Source organism: Homo sapiens, chromosome 22, assembly GCF_000001405.40.
Source record: "Homo sapiens chromosome 22, GRCh38.p14 Primary Assembly".
Lineage (NCBI taxonomy): Eukaryota > Metazoa > Chordata > Mammalia > Primates > Hominidae > Homo > Homo sapiens.
The window spans coordinates 44,990,454-45,009,160 of record NC_000022.11 but is presented as its reverse complement, the minus strand read 5'-3'; the positions used below and the strand labels follow the sequence as shown (position 1 = coordinate 45,009,160).

At 53.7% G+C, this 18,707-nt stretch overlaps 1 protein-coding gene and 1 long non-coding RNA gene across 9 annotated transcripts in view, besides 6 other annotated features; both read left to right on the top strand.

Moving 5' to 3' along the window:
• The window catches only part of PHF21B (PHD finger protein 21B), a 128,844-nt gene that overhangs the window by 845 nt on the left and 109,292 nt on the right, over window positions 1–18,707 (top strand). For 6 of the 8 annotated variants that reach the window (NR_134535.1, NM_001135862.3, NM_001413063.1 and 3 more), the window contains one exon: window positions 551–616. Coding sequence is in view for 5 of the 8 variants with exons in the window: in NM_001135862.3 (NP_001129334.1) it covers window positions 551–616 (66 nt within the window). In the remaining 3 variants the exon portion in view is untranslated. Of the gene's footprint in view, window positions 1–257; window positions 368–550; window positions 617–18,707 lie in introns of those variants that run through there. The other 2 variants (NM_001242450.2, NM_001284296.2) reach the window with 1 other exon arrangement.
• Window positions 176–777: an enhancer, noted in NCBI's record as "H3K27ac hESC enhancer chr22:45404265-45404866 (GRCh37/hg19 assembly coordinates)". NCBI's record gives its function as "activates a minimal SCP1, AML or CMV promoter by ChIP-STARR-seq in naive H9 embryonic stem cells {active_cell/tissue: H9 hESC(naive)}" and the evidence as "EXISTENCE:reporter gene assay evidence [ECO:0000049][PMID:30033119]".
• Window positions 5,187–6,045: an enhancer, noted in NCBI's record as "H3K27ac-H3K4me1 hESC enhancer chr22:45398997-45399855 (GRCh37/hg19 assembly coordinates)". NCBI's record gives its function as "activates a minimal SCP1, AML or CMV promoter by ChIP-STARR-seq in primed H9 embryonic stem cells {active_cell/tissue: H9 hESC(primed)}" and the evidence as "EXISTENCE:reporter gene assay evidence [ECO:0000049][PMID:30033119]".
• Window positions 5,542–8,596, top strand: LOC101927551 (uncharacterized). The gene is made up of 3 exons (NR_147506.1): window positions 5,542–6,296; window positions 7,139–7,294; window positions 7,875–8,596. It is a non-coding gene; the product is annotated as an uncharacterized LOC101927551 (long non-coding RNA).
• Window positions 6,046–6,904: an enhancer, noted in NCBI's record as "H3K27ac-H3K4me1 hESC enhancer chr22:45398138-45398996 (GRCh37/hg19 assembly coordinates)". NCBI's record gives its function as "activates a minimal SCP1, AML or CMV promoter by ChIP-STARR-seq in primed H9 embryonic stem cells {active_cell/tissue: H9 hESC(primed)}" and the evidence as "EXISTENCE:reporter gene assay evidence [ECO:0000049][PMID:30033119]".
• Window positions 8,404–9,263: an enhancer, noted in NCBI's record as "H3K27ac-H3K4me1 hESC enhancer chr22:45395779-45396638 (GRCh37/hg19 assembly coordinates)". NCBI's record gives its function as "activates a minimal SCP1, AML or CMV promoter by ChIP-STARR-seq in naive H9 embryonic stem cells {active_cell/tissue: H9 hESC(naive)}" and the evidence as "EXISTENCE:reporter gene assay evidence [ECO:0000049][PMID:30033119]".
• Window positions 13,909–14,408: an enhancer, noted in NCBI's record as "H3K4me1 hESC enhancer chr22:45390633-45391132 (GRCh37/hg19 assembly coordinates)". NCBI's record gives its function as "activates a minimal SCP1, AML or CMV promoter by ChIP-STARR-seq in naive H9 embryonic stem cells {active_cell/tissue: H9 hESC(naive)}" and the evidence as "EXISTENCE:reporter gene assay evidence [ECO:0000049][PMID:30033119]".
• Window positions 17,005–17,826: an enhancer, noted in NCBI's record as "H3K4me1 hESC enhancer chr22:45387215-45388036 (GRCh37/hg19 assembly coordinates)". NCBI's record gives its function as "activates a minimal SCP1, AML or CMV promoter by ChIP-STARR-seq in primed H9 embryonic stem cells {active_cell/tissue: H9 hESC(primed)}" and the evidence as "EXISTENCE:reporter gene assay evidence [ECO:0000049][PMID:30033119]".

Sequence of the window (18,707 nt, the reverse complement as noted above, 5' to 3'; positions counted from 1 at the left end):
GCCCCCTTCCGGCCTCCCCTCGGGCCCCCGCGCCCCGGGCGAACCTGCCCGGTGTGCAGAAGTAGTTTTGGCGATCGCTGCTGGCGAGCGGCGGCGTGGCGGCCGGAGCCTGAGCGGGGCTCGGCGTGCGCGTGTGTGTGTTGGGGAGATTAGGACGCGACTTGAATATTTATGAGCTTTGCTCGACACGGACTCGCCGTGTTTACTTGGCTCTTTGTTCCTCCCCCCTCCCCCGGCACACACTCACACTCACACTCACTCGCACACGCACCCCGGCCTGCAAACTTGCACGGCTCGGGGCGCGCCGCCGGGTGGCCTCGGCCCCCGCCCCGCCCCGCGAGCTGCCCCGATGAGGCGGCAGCCACAGGTAAGCGGCCCCGCGCGGCACTGCCCGGCCGCCGCGCGTGCAGGACGCGGCCCGGGAAACTTGGGGTGCGCTGCGGCCGGCCCCGCCCGTGGGGCTCCGGGCGGGGGGTGCCGCGGCCCGCGGTGCTGGGGTGCACCTGACCCCGGGTGGCCTGCCTGAGCCCGCTCCTCCGTGTTTCCGCAGAACGGCGACCTCAAGAAGCAGCTCCACGAAAGGCAGCCGCGGATCGCCGCGCTCAGCGACAAACAAGTAAGCGATGGGATCGCGGCCCCCCCTGGGATGGGGCGGGAGGGTGGCTGGGCACTTTGGCGGCGCCCTAAAAAGTGCCAGCCTGGGCGACGCACGCTCAGACTCCCAGAGGGGTCTGTCTCCAGTTCTCAAAGTTCCCCACCCCTCCCCTTTCCTGGAAAGAAAGAGCCGGGTTCTCGGAGGCGGCAGGGAGAGCCGGGCCCTGCGGGGGCCGAAGAGAGGAGCTCACTTAAAAGGCAGCGCGCGGCCCGGCGTCCATTTTGAGGTGGTGGACATGTTTTTGGAACGTGGCGATTTCTCCCGGCTCGGAGTCCCCCGCTTTGCGCTGAGGCGGCCATGGGGGCGGAGGGGGGCGGCCGTGGGGGCCTGGACACCAAACTCGTTGGAAGCGATTTCTGGGTTCCGTGGCAAACCTCGTTTTGAAATCGTTCCTCGAGGCTCCCTCCCCCCCACCACCTTCCACTTCCCTAGCTTCACTTTTTATTCTTGGAACCTGACGCCAGCTCCCGGGGAACAAAAGAAACGCGCCCCCGGGACTCCCCAGTTCTGCTCCAACTTTGGGCTCCGGGCGTTAGGTGTAGTTGGGGACACCTGAGAAGCTCCCACGCGTCGGAGGCGCGACCGCTCCCCCCCCTCCGGGCCCCCTCCGGGGAGGAAAAGTTGTCCATTGTGACTTAGTTGCGCTGAGCTCAGCGCTCGGGGTTTCAGCACCACGAACAGATGCCGCCGCCAGAGCCCGGCCGGCCGCGCGCCCCCGCCCCCTGGCTCCCGCCCCTCCTCCGCTGCCCCTCCCCCGCCGCGCCCCCTCCCCGCACTCGCACACCCGCCCCTTCCCCGCGCTCGCACACCCGCCCCTTCCCCGCGCAGCCCCGAGCCGAGAACTTTGAGCGGCGCAGCCAATGGCGTGCTGGGGGCACCGCTGTGGCGGGCACGGGGGCGGCGGCGCCCCTCCCTCCCTCCGCTGCCCCCTCCCTCCCTCCTTCGCGCCCCGCCCCCGCCCGCGCCGCGCCCCCGGCCATCGATCGCGTTTCCTTCGGAATGCCGGCCGCAGCCGCCAGCGCCAAACTTGGACAGCTCCGGGCCCGCCCCCGCGCGCCCCCGCCCGGGCCTGCCCCCGCGCTCCCACCCCAGCCCGGGCCGCCGGATCGGACGCCCCCTCCCCCGGGGGATTTTCTGGCGTAGGGGAGAGACGTGGACGAGGTTGGGGCGGCTGCCGGTGACCCTGGCGAGAGAGAATTCGGAGGCCGGGCGTTCGTGTCGAGTCTTTAAAGTTAAAAAGTGATGGGAGGGGGCGTGCGCGAGTGGCGGGTTTTGGGGGGGGCCGGGCTTGCTGAAAGGAAGATGGCAGTGCCGCGGCCCGCGCCTGGTCTGGGCCGCCGGGCTGGACCGAAGGCTTGGGACAAATGCGCTAACCCTTTTCAGTTGGTGCCGCGGCCCCCCCGCCCCCGGCCGCGCGCCCCCGTCCGGGAGTGGAAGCTTCCATTCCCGCCGGAGGGGGGCCCGGCGCGCGGCCCCGGCGAAGTCGGGGAGTTGGCGGGGGGAGGGGACCCAGGCCCTGCATTACCATTTTGATTGCTTTGATGCCATTTTTGGAGGGGGAGGGGTCGGAAGACCCTTTTCCGCAGAGCACAAAGCTGTTTAATCACTGCGTAGAATCAAATCAGATACTTTCTTTAAAAAAAAAAAAAAATCTGCCACCAGATCTGGTCCAGTGTGATAGCTGAGGGTTACTAAGCCCTTTTTTCACTGGGTAAAACGGCAAGTTGTTGACTCGTACGCTCCTAGAAGATTTAAAAGAGAGAGAGAAGAAGAAAAAATCCAATAACCTAGGAGCTTTTCTTGGAACAATGTCTCTTTATGTTTCTGCTTGGCAGTAGTTTTACTATTTGGAATGACTCTTCTGAGCTTGGGTTTGATCATTTCTTCTGTATTGTAGCAACTATTTCGAGGCTGTTTAAATTTTTATGATGATAGTAAATGAGTCGCTATTTATTATCTGTCATGCCGGAATTTAGATAAGCCGAAAGAAACATTTGAAAATCCTGTTTGAAGGTTGCGGCAGCTTCGGGAAGGAGCTCTCCGACTCCGGGCTGCCTTTGCCTTTAAATTTGAACTCCGGGAAGGAGGCTTGCTTGCGAACTGACCTCCATCTTTTTGTGTGTGTGAGTGTGTGTTTAAAAAGAAAGAAAGCAAGGAAAACTTTTTTTCTCCGGCCTTTTAGAAATGTTTCCCTTTTAAATGACTAAACAACATTGGGTAAGCAGCCAGGATTTGGCCTGGCCATTGGAACTTGTGTTTTTAACTGCGAGGGTGTTGTTTTTCCATTTCCCTTTGTGGCATTTTATATAACAAGGGCTCATAAAAGAGGGAGGGGAGGGGGCTGCGGCCGTGGTTCAGCATGCTAATAAAGCCGCCTTGTCTTTCCCAGGCTCTGCGTTGAAATCTTTCAGAGGTCACCTATGAAATGAGTTAGGGAGACTTAACATTTACTCCCCTCTCCCTCTCCTTGGGAGAGTTTGGTGGTGATTGGCAGCTTAGCTGGGGAAAGGTCGATGAACAAGCCTTTGGAGGTGACTCTGGGCTGAACTAGGGTTTTGAAGAGGCCTCTACTTGGTCACCCCAGAGCCTGCCCAGAAGGAGCCGAAATGGGGGAGTGGAGGTGAAAAGGCAAGTGTGTCACAGTTTGTTTATTTAACTCAACAGAAAATTAAAGGTAGAATTCTTTTAGAGAGTCGCTTAGGGAAACGCTTATACCATCTCCACCTCCAGAGATGTTTTCTGTGCTGGAACATCGGATATAAAGGTTAAGTTTCAATTAAAAGTGCACATGTGGATGATGAACTAGATAGTAAAATGAACAGATGACCCCGTTATCCAGGTCTGTTAGCAGTACGCCAGCAGCGGAATCCTGTCTTTCAGGGCCCAACCATGAATTTCTCATTCATGCCCTTAGCGCGATGTTTTTCTCAGTTACTTTAAGAAACATGGACAAGTGTGTAAAGGTGTTTAAAGGACTCATAGTGGTAGATAGCTTATTGGTCAGGGTAGATAGAGATATGTTTTCTGTGTAACTGTCTAGTTTTTGTCCTACCATTCGGAGACTAGGGAATTAACAGGAAGTGAGTTTACATAGGACCTTGCTATTTGAAAATGAAGTTCATATTTTCCACTAAAAAAAAAAATGAGGCATAGGATAGTTGGTCAGAGCTGATGAGTTGTGGCCAGGCCCAGGCCAGCTAAGCTGCCTTCCCAGGTGTGGCTGCACTTTGCTGCTGGGCTGTGATTCAGATAGTGGAGGGCCCTCTTCTTTAACAAGATATGATGTGTGAAGACTCCATTAGCTGCTCCAGTGGTTTACACCATGAGATTGCAGCACATGCAGGGGCAGTAACATTTTTATCTAAATTGTCAAGCAACAAGCCCTTCTGTGTAAGTTAAAGACCCAGCGTAAATACTGGGTGGGTGGAGGTCCCCTCTTCGGAGTTCCGAGCACAGCATTTAGATGCCATGTGTGAGCTGGCATCTCCAGACCTGAACTTCATGCAGGTGCAGCTTTACAGTCAGGTTGGGAAGAGCCTTCTGTTTGAACCGCAGTCCATGCTGCTGTGGTCTCATGAGAAGGACCCCGGAGGTGAGCTTGGGACCTTGTGCACTACCCCAAGAGTCCGTGGAGCTGATGAACTCTGGGTTCTGAGAGGCTGTCCCCGAGTGCAGCAGTAAAAGTACGTTGTCTTGAAAGGTGTTGTGTGCGCGCCCAGCGCTGAGACGTGTCTTCACCATGACTTACCAGCTGTGTCCAGCAATGGGGGATTCCACCTTAGAAGCAGCCACTGAATGAAGCTGGGGGGTTATCCACAGCCCCACCCCACATTGTTTGCAGTCCTTTGGTACCAGGACTTTCTGTTTTCCGAACTCTCCTCCCAAGCTTACTCTCCTCCAGAAAGGTACATTTTAATCTCTCTGATGTAAAGTGCCAGTTCTCATTGTTGAAACAGTATCATTATACATTGCAGAAAAAAATCAGTACAACTCCAAAAGCTCCACACTTAATACTGCTAGGGGAAGATCGTGGGAATGGGACAGCAAGGCCTAGCCCGGTTTCACCCCTGGTTAGCCTGGCTACCACCTGTGTGGCCTTCATCCCCCACCTCTCACACCCCCCACACACACAGCTGGAGTTTCCTGGACCCCTCCATCCCTTCATCGCCCTGCGCCCACCCACTACCATCTCTTACCTGGAAGATTGTGATAGCCCCTTCACTGCGTCTACTTAAAAACATCAACAAAACAGCTTTATTGAGATATATTTTACATAGACTTACTCACCCATTTAAAGTGTACCATTCAGTGGTTTTTAGCATATTGACAGATCTGTACAGCCTTCACTACCATCCATTTTAGAATATTTTTGTCGCCTATAAAAGAAACCCCTTGGCTGTCACTTCCCCTCTCCCCTTTCCCCCTTCCCCAGCTTTAAGCAACCACTAATCTACTCTGTCTCTAGAGTTGCCTGTTCTGGGCTTTCGTATGAATGGAATCATACTATGTGTGTGTGTATATATGTATGTGTGTGTGTGTATAAAATGACTATATAGTATGATTATGCTATGTATATAGTATGATTCCACTTATATTAAATAGATATATTTACATCTTTTTGTGACTGGCCTGTTGCACTTAATGATTCAGGCTCCATGCAAGTTGTAGCACGTATCAGCACTTCACTAGCTTTTATGTCAGGACTTCCCGCCCTGTAGAGAGAACTCATTCTGTCCAACCGTTCATCCACGAGTGGACGTTTGGCCTGTTTCCACCTTTTCCTGTTGTGAGTGGCATGCTGCGTCTACTCTGGGCCCTTCTAGTATATTCTTCCCCAGAGTCAGTGTCTTAGAATGTGAATGAGGTCACAGTGCTCCCTGGCTCACAACCTTCTGGTGGCTTCCCCTTGCTCTTGGAATGAATCCCAGGGGCCTGCAGAGCCACAGGGATGGCCCTGCCCACCTGCTCGGCCTCTGCCCCAGAAGCTCCTCCTCGCTCCTGCGGGGCAGCTACAGACACCTGGAGTGCTTTTCTGCCTCTGCGGCGTTCTTAGCCTTGCTTGTGTAGATCTTCCTAGATCAGCTACTGTGCTAGACTGTAAGCTCCCTGAGGGGCAGCTGCAGACACCTGGAGTGCTTTTCTGCCTCTGCGGCGTTCTTAGCCTTGCTTGTGTAGATCTTCCTAGATCAGCTACTGTGCTAGACTGTAAGCTCCCTGAGGGGTGCCTGCTGAGCTCCCCTCTGCCTTTTCCCAGGGCAGTGATGGTGTGAAGATTGGCAATGATTTGTTAACTGTCCTAGGGGAGCCCCTAGCCTGCAGTAGGCCTGGAGCAAAGGGAAGATTTTGAAATCGTGTGTGTTGAAATGAGTGGACCCAGAGATGAATGAGACAAGCTCCCTGCCCTTGGAAACCCAACAAAAGAGTGAGGCGTGGAGAACAGTTTCAAGGAACTTCTGGAAAAGGGCTGTGAAAATCATGCTGCGGGAACACCTGCATCATTGCTGGCCTGGAAACTGAGGACGGCTTCCGGGAGGGGGTTGCCTGGGAGATGCGTCCATAGGGCCTCCTGGGGAGCGGATGGGCGCGGATGGTGGCCAAGCTTGTCAAGGGAAAATGGCCCCAGAGAAACGCGCAGTGGGAGGTAAGGGCGCTGCTGAGTTTTCTGGCAGTAAAACCATGAACGAGGAGGAGAGAGAGGGCAGAGAAGGCCAGCTGGGGCCAGTGTAAGAAGATGTCACATGCAGGGCCGGAGGGCCTCGAGTTGATACCATGGCCTCTTGCCGTGCCCAAGGGCTTCTAGGGCACGAGGCAGGAAGATGTGTGTAGGAGTGCAGGGGTGCTGAGGGCAGGTCAGAAGGGAGGAGTGTGAAGGATGCCTGGGTTCCCCAAGTGCATGAGATACTTAGGTGTTTGTCACCTGCGTGGGGAGCCTCTTGACAGGCCCCATCGTTGTGGGGAGCGCGAGGCTGGTGCTGGACCCAGAGCCCTGGGTGACCAGTACATAAACCAGGCTGTGAGGGTGGGGGTTCCAGGTGACCCTCCCCCAGCCTTCAGCAGAGGTTCTTAGAGCCAAAGAATTAGTGGGGGACACCTCTGGAAGCCCCAGAAGGCAATTGAGTGGGTAACTCTGCTAAGTTGAAGAACAAAAGTGTGTGTATGTGTTTGTGTGCATGTGGTGTGTGTGTATGTACATAAATGCAATTTATAGTTACATGTTTACCAGTTACATTTTTATTCCTATTGATTTAATTTTCTTGGCCACATGTAACGTATAATGACAAATATTTGTATATTGATATATGTCAATACAACAGTAGACATGTAAAGCCTATGTAATGTGTATGAAATAGTTATTATTTTGTCTGTTACTAAAATGAGAGGAAGGATTTGTTTTTGAAGTCAGGAAAATAATTAACATTCTGCTGAAGTAAATTTTACTAAGGAAGGTGGTGATCAGCATTCTATCATTTTGGTCACATTTAGGAGATAAAGAAGAATTCTACTTTTTAAAGGTTTTTCTTAGAAAAGCAACACGTGCTCATCGGGAAAATGGCAGTACAAGTTTGAATATCGTAAAGCGCGGGTCTCACTTCTTCCTGCCCCACTGTATCCTTGGGCGAGAGCGGCGGTGGCCTCGAGGTGTGCTCACGGAGGTGTCTGCAGATGCGTCTATGATGTTGGGTAAACACCTTCTCACACAAGTCCATGCACCAGGCATCACTGTTCCCAGACCTGCTTTTCACACCTGACGTGGTATTGTGGAGGTCTCTTGGGAACAGCTCAGGTTAATTCCACGAATATGAAAGGAGTTTCCACCAGAAATTATTGGGGATATGGAAGTAGCGGTGGAGCGGTATGTTGTGAGTGACGGTGACATCTCACTCTATAAGGCTTTACACTTGCAGAGGGCTTTCACTTGATATAGCCCACAGCTCACAGCTGTTTTCACATGCAGTTGGGGAGGCAGGTGTGTCCACAGTCACCTGTCGAGGCCCAGTGAGGTATTTGTGTGAGATGTCTGGCCACCAGGCTCACCCAGGTGGCAGATGGGACGATGTGCTGTGCTGAGGGGTGTGGGGACAGCTCCAGGGAGGTGACATTTGCACTGGTAGAGAAGGTGGTGGCAGATTGCACACTCGCTGCTGTGGCTGGCTGTGGCACTCTCTTCAACGCACCTCCTCTGTCCTCCTTGATCGACGTCTTTTTATTTGATTGTCAGGATAATCCTGGGACTTGGGTCGGACTGGGCTGGTGAATCTTCAGGACACATCGGAGGAGGGCAGCTTTCCAAGGTTGAGCCGCCTGGGACCGCTGTGAATGGAATTGTCGACACTGCCCCCTGGCCCGGAATGCCTCCATGTTAGCCCCCTGCTCATCTCCAGCTGGTCTCCCATGGTGTAGGGTAAAAGGTGATGGAGCCGGAAGAGCAAGGGCCCCATAGTCAGCACACGGGGGTTCACGGCCCAGCTTCCTGTGTCTTGGCTGAGCAACCTTGGGCAAGCCATTCTGCCTCTCTGAACGAGCTCCGTTTGCCAGCTGTGAAGTGGGGGTGGGAATAAGACCCACTCACCTGGTGATTGCGATGAAATCAGCAGATATGAAAGTGCTTTTAGACTGCAACGTGAAGGTGTTAAACGTGGGTCTGTCACTAGAGATGAGGGTTGACTTGAACCACAGGAACCACCCCCCTGCCCGGGCTCTGACCTGGGCACTTTTGTCTTGTTGCTTGTCCCCGCTGGGGAGGCGATCTTTCCATGCGAGAGCGTCATGTTGCTTTTTGCCCCCGTAAAGGTTGACGACCACTATGCTGACTACGCCGCCTGCATCAGCCACTCCAAAGAGTCCGCTTTGATACCTTAGAGTCTTAAAACACCTGCTGTCGGAACCGTACAATTGATTTCAATTAACTTTGAATTTTTTCAATGAAATGACTCTGATAATAACTTTGGTAGTCCCATGATGCCTCATTAGAGCTGCTGGCTATGATGATTAGCCTTGTGATTTACCAAGTTTTTCCTCCAACGCCTTTGTCTCTTCAGGAACCGAATCATGGGCTGTGTCTTTGATTTCACTTGTGTGAGCAGCGAACACACGAGGCTGCTACTCGCCCCATCTGCAGACACACTGCTGGTCCTGAGGGCGCCACACTCCTTCTTCAGCAGCCGAGGCTCTTGATATGTATGGGGCAGTGTCTCGGGGAGGCTCTGGTCACCTCTAGGGGGTTAAGGAGCTTTGAGGGTGTCCGGTGGCCCAGCCTTGGAGGCCCTGCCCCCCGATTTCCCTCCCGAGTACTGTTTAGAAGGCTTTTAACTTTGTCTCCGAGAGGCGTGTGACAAAGTGATTTACAGTGCAGGCTTTAAAACTGGACAGACTGGAGTTCCAATCCCGGCTCCATCCTTTGCCGGCTCCTTCCGCTTGGGGCAGGCTTTGCCGCCTTGGAGGCTCTGGTTCCGTAGTTATAAAAGGGGATTAATAATAGTTCATGGCCAGCCAGGCAGCAGAGTGCCTGGTGCTCGGTGAGCACTCAAGAAACAATCTTCGAGAGGCCGCAGGATTAGTGAGTGGTGCATTAAGCTCTGGGCCCACAGGAAGTTCTCACCCAGTGGGACTGATGACGTGTCCTGACGCGTCCTGGTGTTCCTGTGGGGCGCTGGCTCTGAGCAGGTGCCTTCTGGTTCTCTCTGTGGACTGGCTCGGCCCAGAGAGGTTGGGGGCCTTGTTGAGATCACACCCCTGGTGAGTAGAGAAGCCGTGGTCCAGTTCTGGACCATTGGGTGCCCAGCTTCGTGACCTTAACTCCAACACTGGCACGTGTAGGGGGAGAAATGACAGCGTAATGGCACCAATAAGAAAAGTGAGGTGTGGACTGTTACTCCGGGGCACACGGTCAGATAAAAATGAGTGGAGTTACGATGTTGGAGACAATCCCCAGCAAGTTAGTAACCGTCCTGGTGACCGCGAGCAGTACTTTTGCTCCGAAATAGAAGTCATGGAAGCTTCCTGGGGTCTGGGTCTGGGTCTCTGCATCTCCCGGGAGCCTGGCTGTTGGCTTAGCACCGGGGAGTGTGTGGCTGGCCGGGGCCTCGGTGAGGATTGCGGGGTTGTGGAGAGGAGTCTGCAGCACAAAAGCCAAGCCCTTCGCAGCTGGGGGGTTTCCTCCTCCTCCCTCTCTCTGGCTTGCGTTCTGCTCTCCTTTTTATTATTATTGATGTTATTTTATAGTTTAAGGTGGAGACATCTCATTTTGAAATGGTCTCTGTTCTCTGAAGGAACGAATATGCTTTCTGAAGATTGCTCTGTGTTGTTTTTGGTGGTGACTTCCTGTTCGGTAGTAGCAGTCCCAGTGTGGGGAGAAATTGCTGGTGCAGCTTCACTCTGGTTACAGTCCCTGACTGCCAACAGCGGGCATCCCTTGGCGGCTCCGATTGGGCCGTACTATACGGTTTTTTACTTTGGCTTGGCACTTGTGCTGGTCTTCTTAAAAGATGGCAGAAAGGAGGGTATCCATGTGGGATTTTTATTTTTTTGCTCAGGGTTGAGTCAAACCCTCATCCTGAAGAGGGATGGGAGGGGCAGGCCAGGCTGGGTCCTGGTCTCAAAGTGGGGGTGTTGGAGCCCCTCTGGCAGTGATGTCCCGGGGATGAATGGGGCGAGCATTGTACGCACCGGGCGTGATTCCCGAGGTGCAGCCAGGAGTTGAGTAGAGAGAGCTGTTGTCAGTACTATTTTATTAACAATAATACAAGAAACAGCCAGCAGGACCCCAAAGACATTATTGCCGTAGAAAAGCAGGGAGGCATCTCTGGCTTTTTGTTGATACAGAAACTACTGAGTTGCTTTTGGTCTCTGGACGGGTGTACCCAGAGCTGGGATTCGGCCCCTGACTTGGGAGTCTGTGGAAATTGAGGGGACATGTCCCCCGCCTTGGCCTGATGGCTTATGGCTGAAGCTAAAAGCATAGGATGTGAGAACCAAGGGGAGCACCTCGGCCAAGCCCCTCATCTTACCCGAGGGAAACTGAGGCCCCGGTCGGGGTTGGGAATTGCACCCAGGAACAAGATCGGGCCCCTGTGACTCCAGGTCTTCTGATCACTGCGCTTGGCCCATGCGAGAAACCTATTGTGTTTGTTTTCACAATTAAATTTACTTCACCAGAGTTTTCTTTCTGAAGCCGCTGGCCCCAGAGGGCAGCCTGTGTGTGAGAGTTGCTGCGTCCTGCATGGATGACCTTATTTGTGGACAACAGGACTGCCAAGAAAGGACCCTCAGGACACCTGGGTGTTTTGAGAATGGTTGCTAGACTCTCCAAGTAGTTGACTTCTGAATTGCACAAGTAAGAGACAGGCAGCTTTGGCAGGGCACAGTGTGTTCCAGAATGGTCCATACGATGAAACTTACTAAATCAGATTGGCTGCAGATCTCCAGGTATGGGTAAGTTTCTTCACCTTCTGTGTCCCTGGAGAATCAGGAGTCCCTGCAGCCATCACCTAGCCCAAGTTTGCACATTTCTGTTTTCAGAGTCTACAATTGAGGGTAGGGGCCAGCTGTGGGCTTGTTACGGAAGAGTCATTCCCCAAAATAGGAAAGGAGCTGAGAGATGGCAATTTGGAAGGGCGGGCCTCCGTTATGCGAAGCGGCAGCAGAGGGGTCTGTTGGGACCTCCCTGAGGAGGCCGCCCCTGGGTGAAGCTGTAGTCAATTTGGGGAGAGGGTTTTTACCCCAGGCAAAAGAAAAGGGCTGGGATGAGGCAGGAGAGGAGGGGAAGGGAGAGAAAGAGAGGGAGAAGTGTTTCTCTTTGATGTCATTCAGGCGGAAAGCCAATCTGCACATGTAAATGAACCTGAAAATGTAATTAAAAATATATACATATTAGAGACTATGATCCAGAATTTAATGTGAGATGCAGCTTGCAAAGTGACAGGTAGCATTTCCTACAATCAGCAATACGAGTCTAGTCTGTGATTAATGCGTCTCAGTGGTAATAAATGCACCACAGATAAATGCCGGAATTATTTGTTAAACTCTGGGTTGACAGCCCCATTGAATGCAAAACTCTGTTTGTCCACATTGCCCACGTCCACCTCCCTGCAGCCATTGCAAGAAGGTCCCCCCAAGAGCTTGGAAGGAGAGGTGACAGAACAGTTACTGGGGCCATCGTGGACTGAGGCCAGAGCCCTCGAGGTGATTCCAGCCATAGGCATGGGAAGTGGCAGAAGTGGGCACGTCAAGGGAAAGTTGCCAGGAGCCACCTGTGGCTGCCATCTCCAAGCAGGAGCTGGGACTCATTGGCCCAGGACCTTCAGCGTAAGGGACTGGAGGGGACGAGGGTAGTGGAGCTCTCTGTGTCTGAAGCCTTTTTGCGTATTCTCTGGGGTGTGACCAGATGAGGATGTTCAGCAGGGAGGGCCCCGTTAACAGGCTCGTGAGCAGTGGGCACAATAGGCCTTGTGGTGCTCAGAGACTCGGGGGGGAGACAGGTAATCGATGAGAAACATAATGCGTGACGTGGAGTGGGTCGGAAGGTGGCAGGTGCTCTGGTGAAAAGTAGAACGGGGAAGCGATGTGCATGTGCGCGTGTGTGTGCATGTGTGTATGCATGTGTGCACACGTTTGTGTATGCTTGTGTGCGTCTGCATGTATGCATGTGTGTGTGTGCATGTGTTCGTGTGTGCCCACCTCTGTGTATGCTTATGTGCGTCTGCATGTATGCATGTGTGTGTGCTTGTGCATGCACGTGTGTGGATCCGTGTGTGCATGTGGGTGTTTGTGTGTGTTTGCATGCATGTGTATATGTCTGCATGTGTATATGCATGTATGCGTGTGTGTGTTTGTGTGTCTGTGTGTGTGTGTAGGACAGGTGGCAGCTTTAGAGAGTGATCTAGAGGGGATCAGAGAGTCAAACGGGGTAGGGACCCTTCCTCTCGGTGTGACTGACCTCAGCCTTTGAATCACCACCTGGCCTGAGTGTTTGAGAGGGAGCAGCCCTTTCATGGGGCAGAATGTTGACCACAGATTGAAAGTTAGGTGAAAGCTGATTTCCGCCCCCAGTCTGGAGGAATACCCTGATGATGAGAGCTGTCTGGGGCTAGAACTGGTTGTTTAAGGCCTCCATCTGCCAAACCACCTCTCAGTCAGTGAAGGAGAAGCGGCACCAACCAGCAGTTGTACGGGGAAGGCTGGCGGATGCTCCCTGACACTGAGATTCTGTGATTCAGAAATCTTGAGACTCATCAGGGACTCTGTGGCTGTGTAATTACAACCTGAGGTTCCCAGCCTCGGCAGGGATGGCAGACACCGAAGCTGTGGGCTGGCGAGTGGTCCTGCTGAGGGCTGGGCGCTGGAGAGACCGAGCCCCTCAGCTGGGGGCAGCATGGCCCAGCACCCCCCTGTTGTCATGTGGCATGGGCCCTGTGCCGCTGGCTCCTTGGATTTTTCAAGAGAAGCCAGAAATGAAGTGTGATGTTTGGATATGGGCAATACAGCCTTTCCACATATCCCCGGCCAGAAGGGACACCCCTGCAGATCGAGGTGAACTGTCCCCTCTGCGACCATCTTTGAGCCCCTTGCCACGTCCCCTCCGCTGTGCCCTCAACACCTGGCTCCTTCCTCTGCATCGTCTGGGGCCCGGCGGAGATGGGCAGTCACCCTGACCTCAGGGACAGAGTCTGTCTTTCCCCCGAATCACGTGGGGGGATGGGGGGGTGGAGGTGGGGGGCGGGGGGGTCATCTAGTAATTTCCTCCCTCCCTCATCTCTGTCTCCACTCAACATCTCGGAAGGTGCCGACATACCGAGTGCTAAATGCAGTGACTGAGTCAGACTCGACGCGCCGAAGATTCTAGAACCTTAGCATCCTAAGATGCAAAGAGTCTGTGTTGGTGATTCCCGAGATTCAAGACCTTGGTTCTACAGTGGTCCAAGCTCCCAAGGTTTAGCGATTCTGTGGTCCCAGAGTGAGCCCCAGACTCCTGGGAGGGGAGGAGCTGGTCACACAACCAGAGTGCCTCGGGACTCTTCAAGGGTGCTTATCTCTCATTTAGATAAGTAAGTGGAACACAAATGCATTTCTGTAAATAGACTCGTCCCCCAGCCCCCCACACACTCCAGCCCCAGCCACTGCCTCGTTGGAGTTATTTTATTAACGTGTTCTGCTGAGTGGACTTGAATGGGGAACGCTGCCTCTCATATTGTGGATCTAATTATAAGCATGAGGGACGGTACCAAAGAAGCGGCTTTGAAGGGAGAAGAGTCTGGCAGCTTGGTTGAAAGTGTCCTTTAATGAACTTCTGTGGCACTTGTATCTTAGCAACACATTTTATTACATCCTGGTGCAGCTGGACTTGCTGTACAGTAATTCATCCCCCCCATACCTCCCCACAACCTTGGTGACTGGAGGGAGGGATGTACCCACCCACTTCCCCAAGGCAGTGTTTGCACCTCTGCTGCTTTGTTTAGTTGATGAAAAAGGCAAACACAGCTCTGAGAGCCGGGGACCTGGCTGGCGAGTACCAGTATGAGCTGGAGGGGTGGGCGGTGGGCGGCCTCTCGGCCTGAGCTGCTGTGAGTTCAGATGCTGCCGCTGCAGGCTGCCATGCAGGTCTGCTGATTCTCGCCCTGGCGCTCCCCAAGTTTGGGTATTTTTATCTGGACTTCTTTTCTGTAATGACACTAATTTGGATACTGCGGAAGTGGGGACGTTGGCACATCTTTCATCGTAATCAGCAGCCTGTATGTAAGTGGGGGTGGGGGAGTGTTGATGAGATGAAGTGGGTGCCAGGGGAGGAAAGTAGGTCTGAAGCACTGGGCCAGGCTGCCCAGTCCAGCTGGGCTCAGCTGTGTGTGAGCCCGGGGGTTGTGGCTGGTTACTTTTCTCTCTGAGCCTTAGCTTTCTTCTCTGCTGTGTGAGTGTCCTGTGGCTGCCGTAACTGATCCCCACGAGCTGGGCAGCGTAAAATAGCAGAATTCATTCTCTCACAGTTCTGGAGGCCAGAAGTCTGAAAGGAAAGTGTCAGCAGGGCCGCACTCCCTCCGGAGGCTCGAGGGGAGGCCCCTCTCTTGCTTCTGCCAGCCCCTGGCGGCTTCTGGAAGTCCTTGGCTTGAAGACACAGCCCTCCAGTCTCTGCCTCTGTCTACACCTGGCTGTCTTACCTCAGGGTCTGTCTGGGAGTCTTTTCTCCTTGTCTTATAAGCTCGCCAGTCATGGGATTTAGGGTTCACCCTAAGGCACAATGACCTCAGCTAACTAATTACATCTGTAATGACCCTATTTCCAAATAAGGTCATGTTCCAAGGTTCTAGAAGGATCTGAAATTTAGGGGGACACTCTTCAACCCAGTATCTCCACCAGCTGAAGCTAGCCCTGCCTACCTTGGATTCACGTTGCGGGGATGCCCCGGGCCGACGCAGCAGCAGGTGCCTTTGGCTCAGTATGTGGGTCTGCTCCCTGTCCTTCTCTCACAGCCAGAAGCTGAGATGGACAAACTATGAACCCGTGCTCCATCCTAAGCGGTGGGATGGCAGGATCTTCTGAAACTGTGACTGGGCAGGTGGTTTGAATATCTGAAATCAGGACCATCTCAGAAAAGCTGGGGTGCATCATTTCCTCTAGTTTGTGGCTCTTCACAGGCAGAAGGTTTGATATTAGGTTGTGTGTGTAGTTTTGAAAACCAGCCAGCTGAGAGTTTCACCCTGATTTGTTCTCATCCAGTGGCGAGGAAAGATTGCTTTAGAAGCACAGCCGACCTAAATAGGGATGTGCATTCTCCTGGGTGCACACACAGCTTCCTTGTTGCTGTTTGGCCTGCAGGAAAGTAAAGAGTCCAAGTTGCTCATCTCCACGGGTCTCGATTTTTCTCATCTGTGAAGTGGCTAAAATGAAGGCCGCTGTCTCCAAGCCTGTGATGGGGATTGACTGCCTTGCGGAGAAGCGTGTGTGTCAACTGCACGTTGCCGTGTGTGGGAGCGGTTCTGGACTCGCTGTTCTTGGCTGTGGCCTGTTCTCCGGTTGACCGGGAAGCTGGGGTCTGGTTCAGCCTCCCCATCCTCTAGGCTGTGGGAGAGCCCTGGCGGGTGGGAGGATGGAGCCGGTGCCGCTGTGGTGGATGAGCGTGGATAGGCCTCTGCTGCCTTTACTTCCAACAACACAGAGGCCTCCTGCGATCCCCCTTTTACCGGAGGGGACACTGAGGCTGGGTGAGGTGTGATGACTCACCTGAGGGCTTATATCTGAAGCTGGAGTGTGAACCAGCTTGGTCTGGGCTCAGTGTCTCTGTGTTGTCTGTATGTTAAACTGTATCCCAGCCAGAATGGAGCCCAGACCGCCCAGCCAGCGAGTCCTGCCAGGAATCCCAGTGAGATGCTGGCCCCACCCTGAGATGCCGCACATGGATGTGGCATTTCAGGTTCACGTGGCTTCTCCCTGTACCTGATGCCTTGTGTTCCCTGGCATCTCAGGGAGTGGCAGAGTGGAGGTGTCCCTTCTGACCAAGTGTGAGGATGCAGAGTCCCATGCCCTGTTGGACTTGGTGGATTTGGGTAAAAGCTCAGCTCTTTCTGAATCAGTCCCTGCATCTGTAAAATGGGGACGAGGCTCTACTGCCTGCTTTATAGCGGGGTTGCAAGGCTGAAATGAAGAAAACCAGGGAGAGCTGGGATGAGGCCGACAGGATCGTGTGAGCAGGCTGGGTAGGGTCCCGAGAGCCTCTCTGGGGGGTCAGCGTCAGGTCGCCACTCCCGTCCTCCTGTCCCCCACCCCGCCACATCACTCATTCTTATGCCTACTCTGTGTTGGGTGCTTTACACGCTGTTCAGTCCACAGAAAGTGGGGCTGGAGCTCTTCCTTGGAGGATGGCGGCCAAAAGCCAGAGCCGGCCTCAGGCTGAGTTGGTGGGGACCCTGGCTCTGCCACCCACACGTGCACGCGCAGAGATTCAGTCCAGCCTGTGGAAGACACACCTCGCCTCCGCTCCTGCCTGTTAGATGTTTTCCAAGGTTTGATGTGGGTGACGTGCTTGACAGTCACCTGCTGTGCTTGGCATCAGCCAGCGGTGGAGCAGGACTTGGAAGGCAGGCCTGGGATACTGGCTGGTGGCTCAGGTAGCCCTGACACCAGTCTCAGTGGCTCACTCTGGTCGCCCTGGCATTGAGTGCGTCCACGCTGCGGTGCGGCCACAGCACCCCGTCCCCGTCAGTTCCTCCCATGCATTTCATCGTCCAGCATCCCTGGGCAGCGGCAGCCTCTGCAAAGTGGCTTCAAGGGGCTTCTGTTCAAACACTCCAAGGGTCCTCCCCTGGCAGGGGCATGAATGGTGCTTTCTGCAACTTCAGAGGGCATGGAGAGAAGGGATTAACACAGAACTGAATTTCTGCTGAAGTTAGAGGACATCTAAGAATGCACTGAGAGAACAGTCTGCCCTTGAGGCAGTGCACTCCCCGTCACTTACATTGGTCAAGAGAAGGGACGTTTGCATCTGGGGTGAGACCCGACCAAGTGCGCTCCCCCAACGTCCGGGTCTGGTTTCTTTAATGCCTCCAAAAATCTTGTGACCCAGCCAACAGCTTCATTAAAAAAGCTGTTTCTTAGGTTACACAATTGACTCATTTACTAAATATGTTTTTGGAAGAAACCAAAGAAAGTGAAGACAAGAGTTCTCAGCAGCCCCTTCACCCTGTAAGGCCAGCGAGGGCAGCCATTGTCCCGTGTCCCCAGGTGAGTCCTGCTTATGGAGCTGGATGGACCAGCGGAGCTGAGAGTCAGGTCTGGCTAGCAGGCCAGTGGAGGGAGGCCAGCGGGACACAGAACAGAGGTGGAGACAGTGGCCACCACAGGAGCCCCCCAGCTGGGCACAGGGTGACCACCCCAGGGTCCCCCGAGCTCTGTAAGGGACTGCCCCTCCATGGATGTCCTGGCCCCACAGAGAGGACCACAGCATCACTCACCATCTAGGGGGACGCCAGGCCCGTCCCTGTTCTCAGCCTCTCCTTGGGTCTCCTGGGCCGAAGCTGTGTGATCCTCTGCCTCCTTCCCTGGGGGAGGACGCTCAGTGGGATCATCTGTCACAAGTCTGCCTGTCGTCTTGGTGGTTTGTGTTCTGTTTGGCTGACGTCACTGAAGAAGGAACCACCACACACAGTGGGTTTTCCAGGCACCGGAAATCCCTTCCCCTTTGCACGGACCCAGCACCTGTGAGGTGGGAGAATCTGTACTGCACCGTGGAGTGGCCAGACTGCCTTTTCTTTTACCCATTTTAGGGAATTCTTAATAGCGTGCACATCAAGCTTTTTTGCCTTCTCAAGGAGGGTTTCCTCATTTGAACTTAATCCCCTTGGTGCACAAATGCTAAAATTACTAGTGTTAATGACTGAAGGATGCGCTAACCTGGATTGAAGCCCAGGTTGCATTTCTCTGGACAGTTTTGGAGACTGCCCTGCCCGATGGACGGCACCCTCGTGACAGCCCTGGAAGGTGGGCAGGGCGGGGCTTTGATTCCCGCCTCGCAGGCCTGGGTGTGGAGGAGCCGCGGCAGCAGGGCCCGCTGTTGGTGGTTAGACCTTCCAAGGTGGTTCAGGGCTCCCCCTGGCCACGCAGTTAGCGACTCCTGCCTTTTTTCCTCGGTCACACTCCTGGCTTTATTAAATAACATTGATCGAAATTTTTATTGCAGCAAAATGGACATAACATAAAACTTACCGTCTTCACCATTTTTAAGTGCCCAGTTTAGCAACATTAGATATATTCACGCTGTGTAGTCGTCACCACCATCCATCTCCAGATGTCCTTGTCTTCCCAAACTGCAACTTGGTACCCATGAAACAATTACTCCTATTCCTTCCTCCCCAGGCTCCTGGTAGCCGGCATCTTACTTAGAATCACAGAGTATTTATCTTTGTGCAACTGGCTTTTTTCACTTCGCGCAATATACTGAATTTATCTTTTTGCCACTGGCTTTTTTCACTTAGCGTAATATACTCTTACTCAGCGTAATTCACGCATGTTGTAGCGTGCGTCAGAACTTCCTTCCTTTTTCAGGCTGTGCGTTATTCCACTGCTTGCA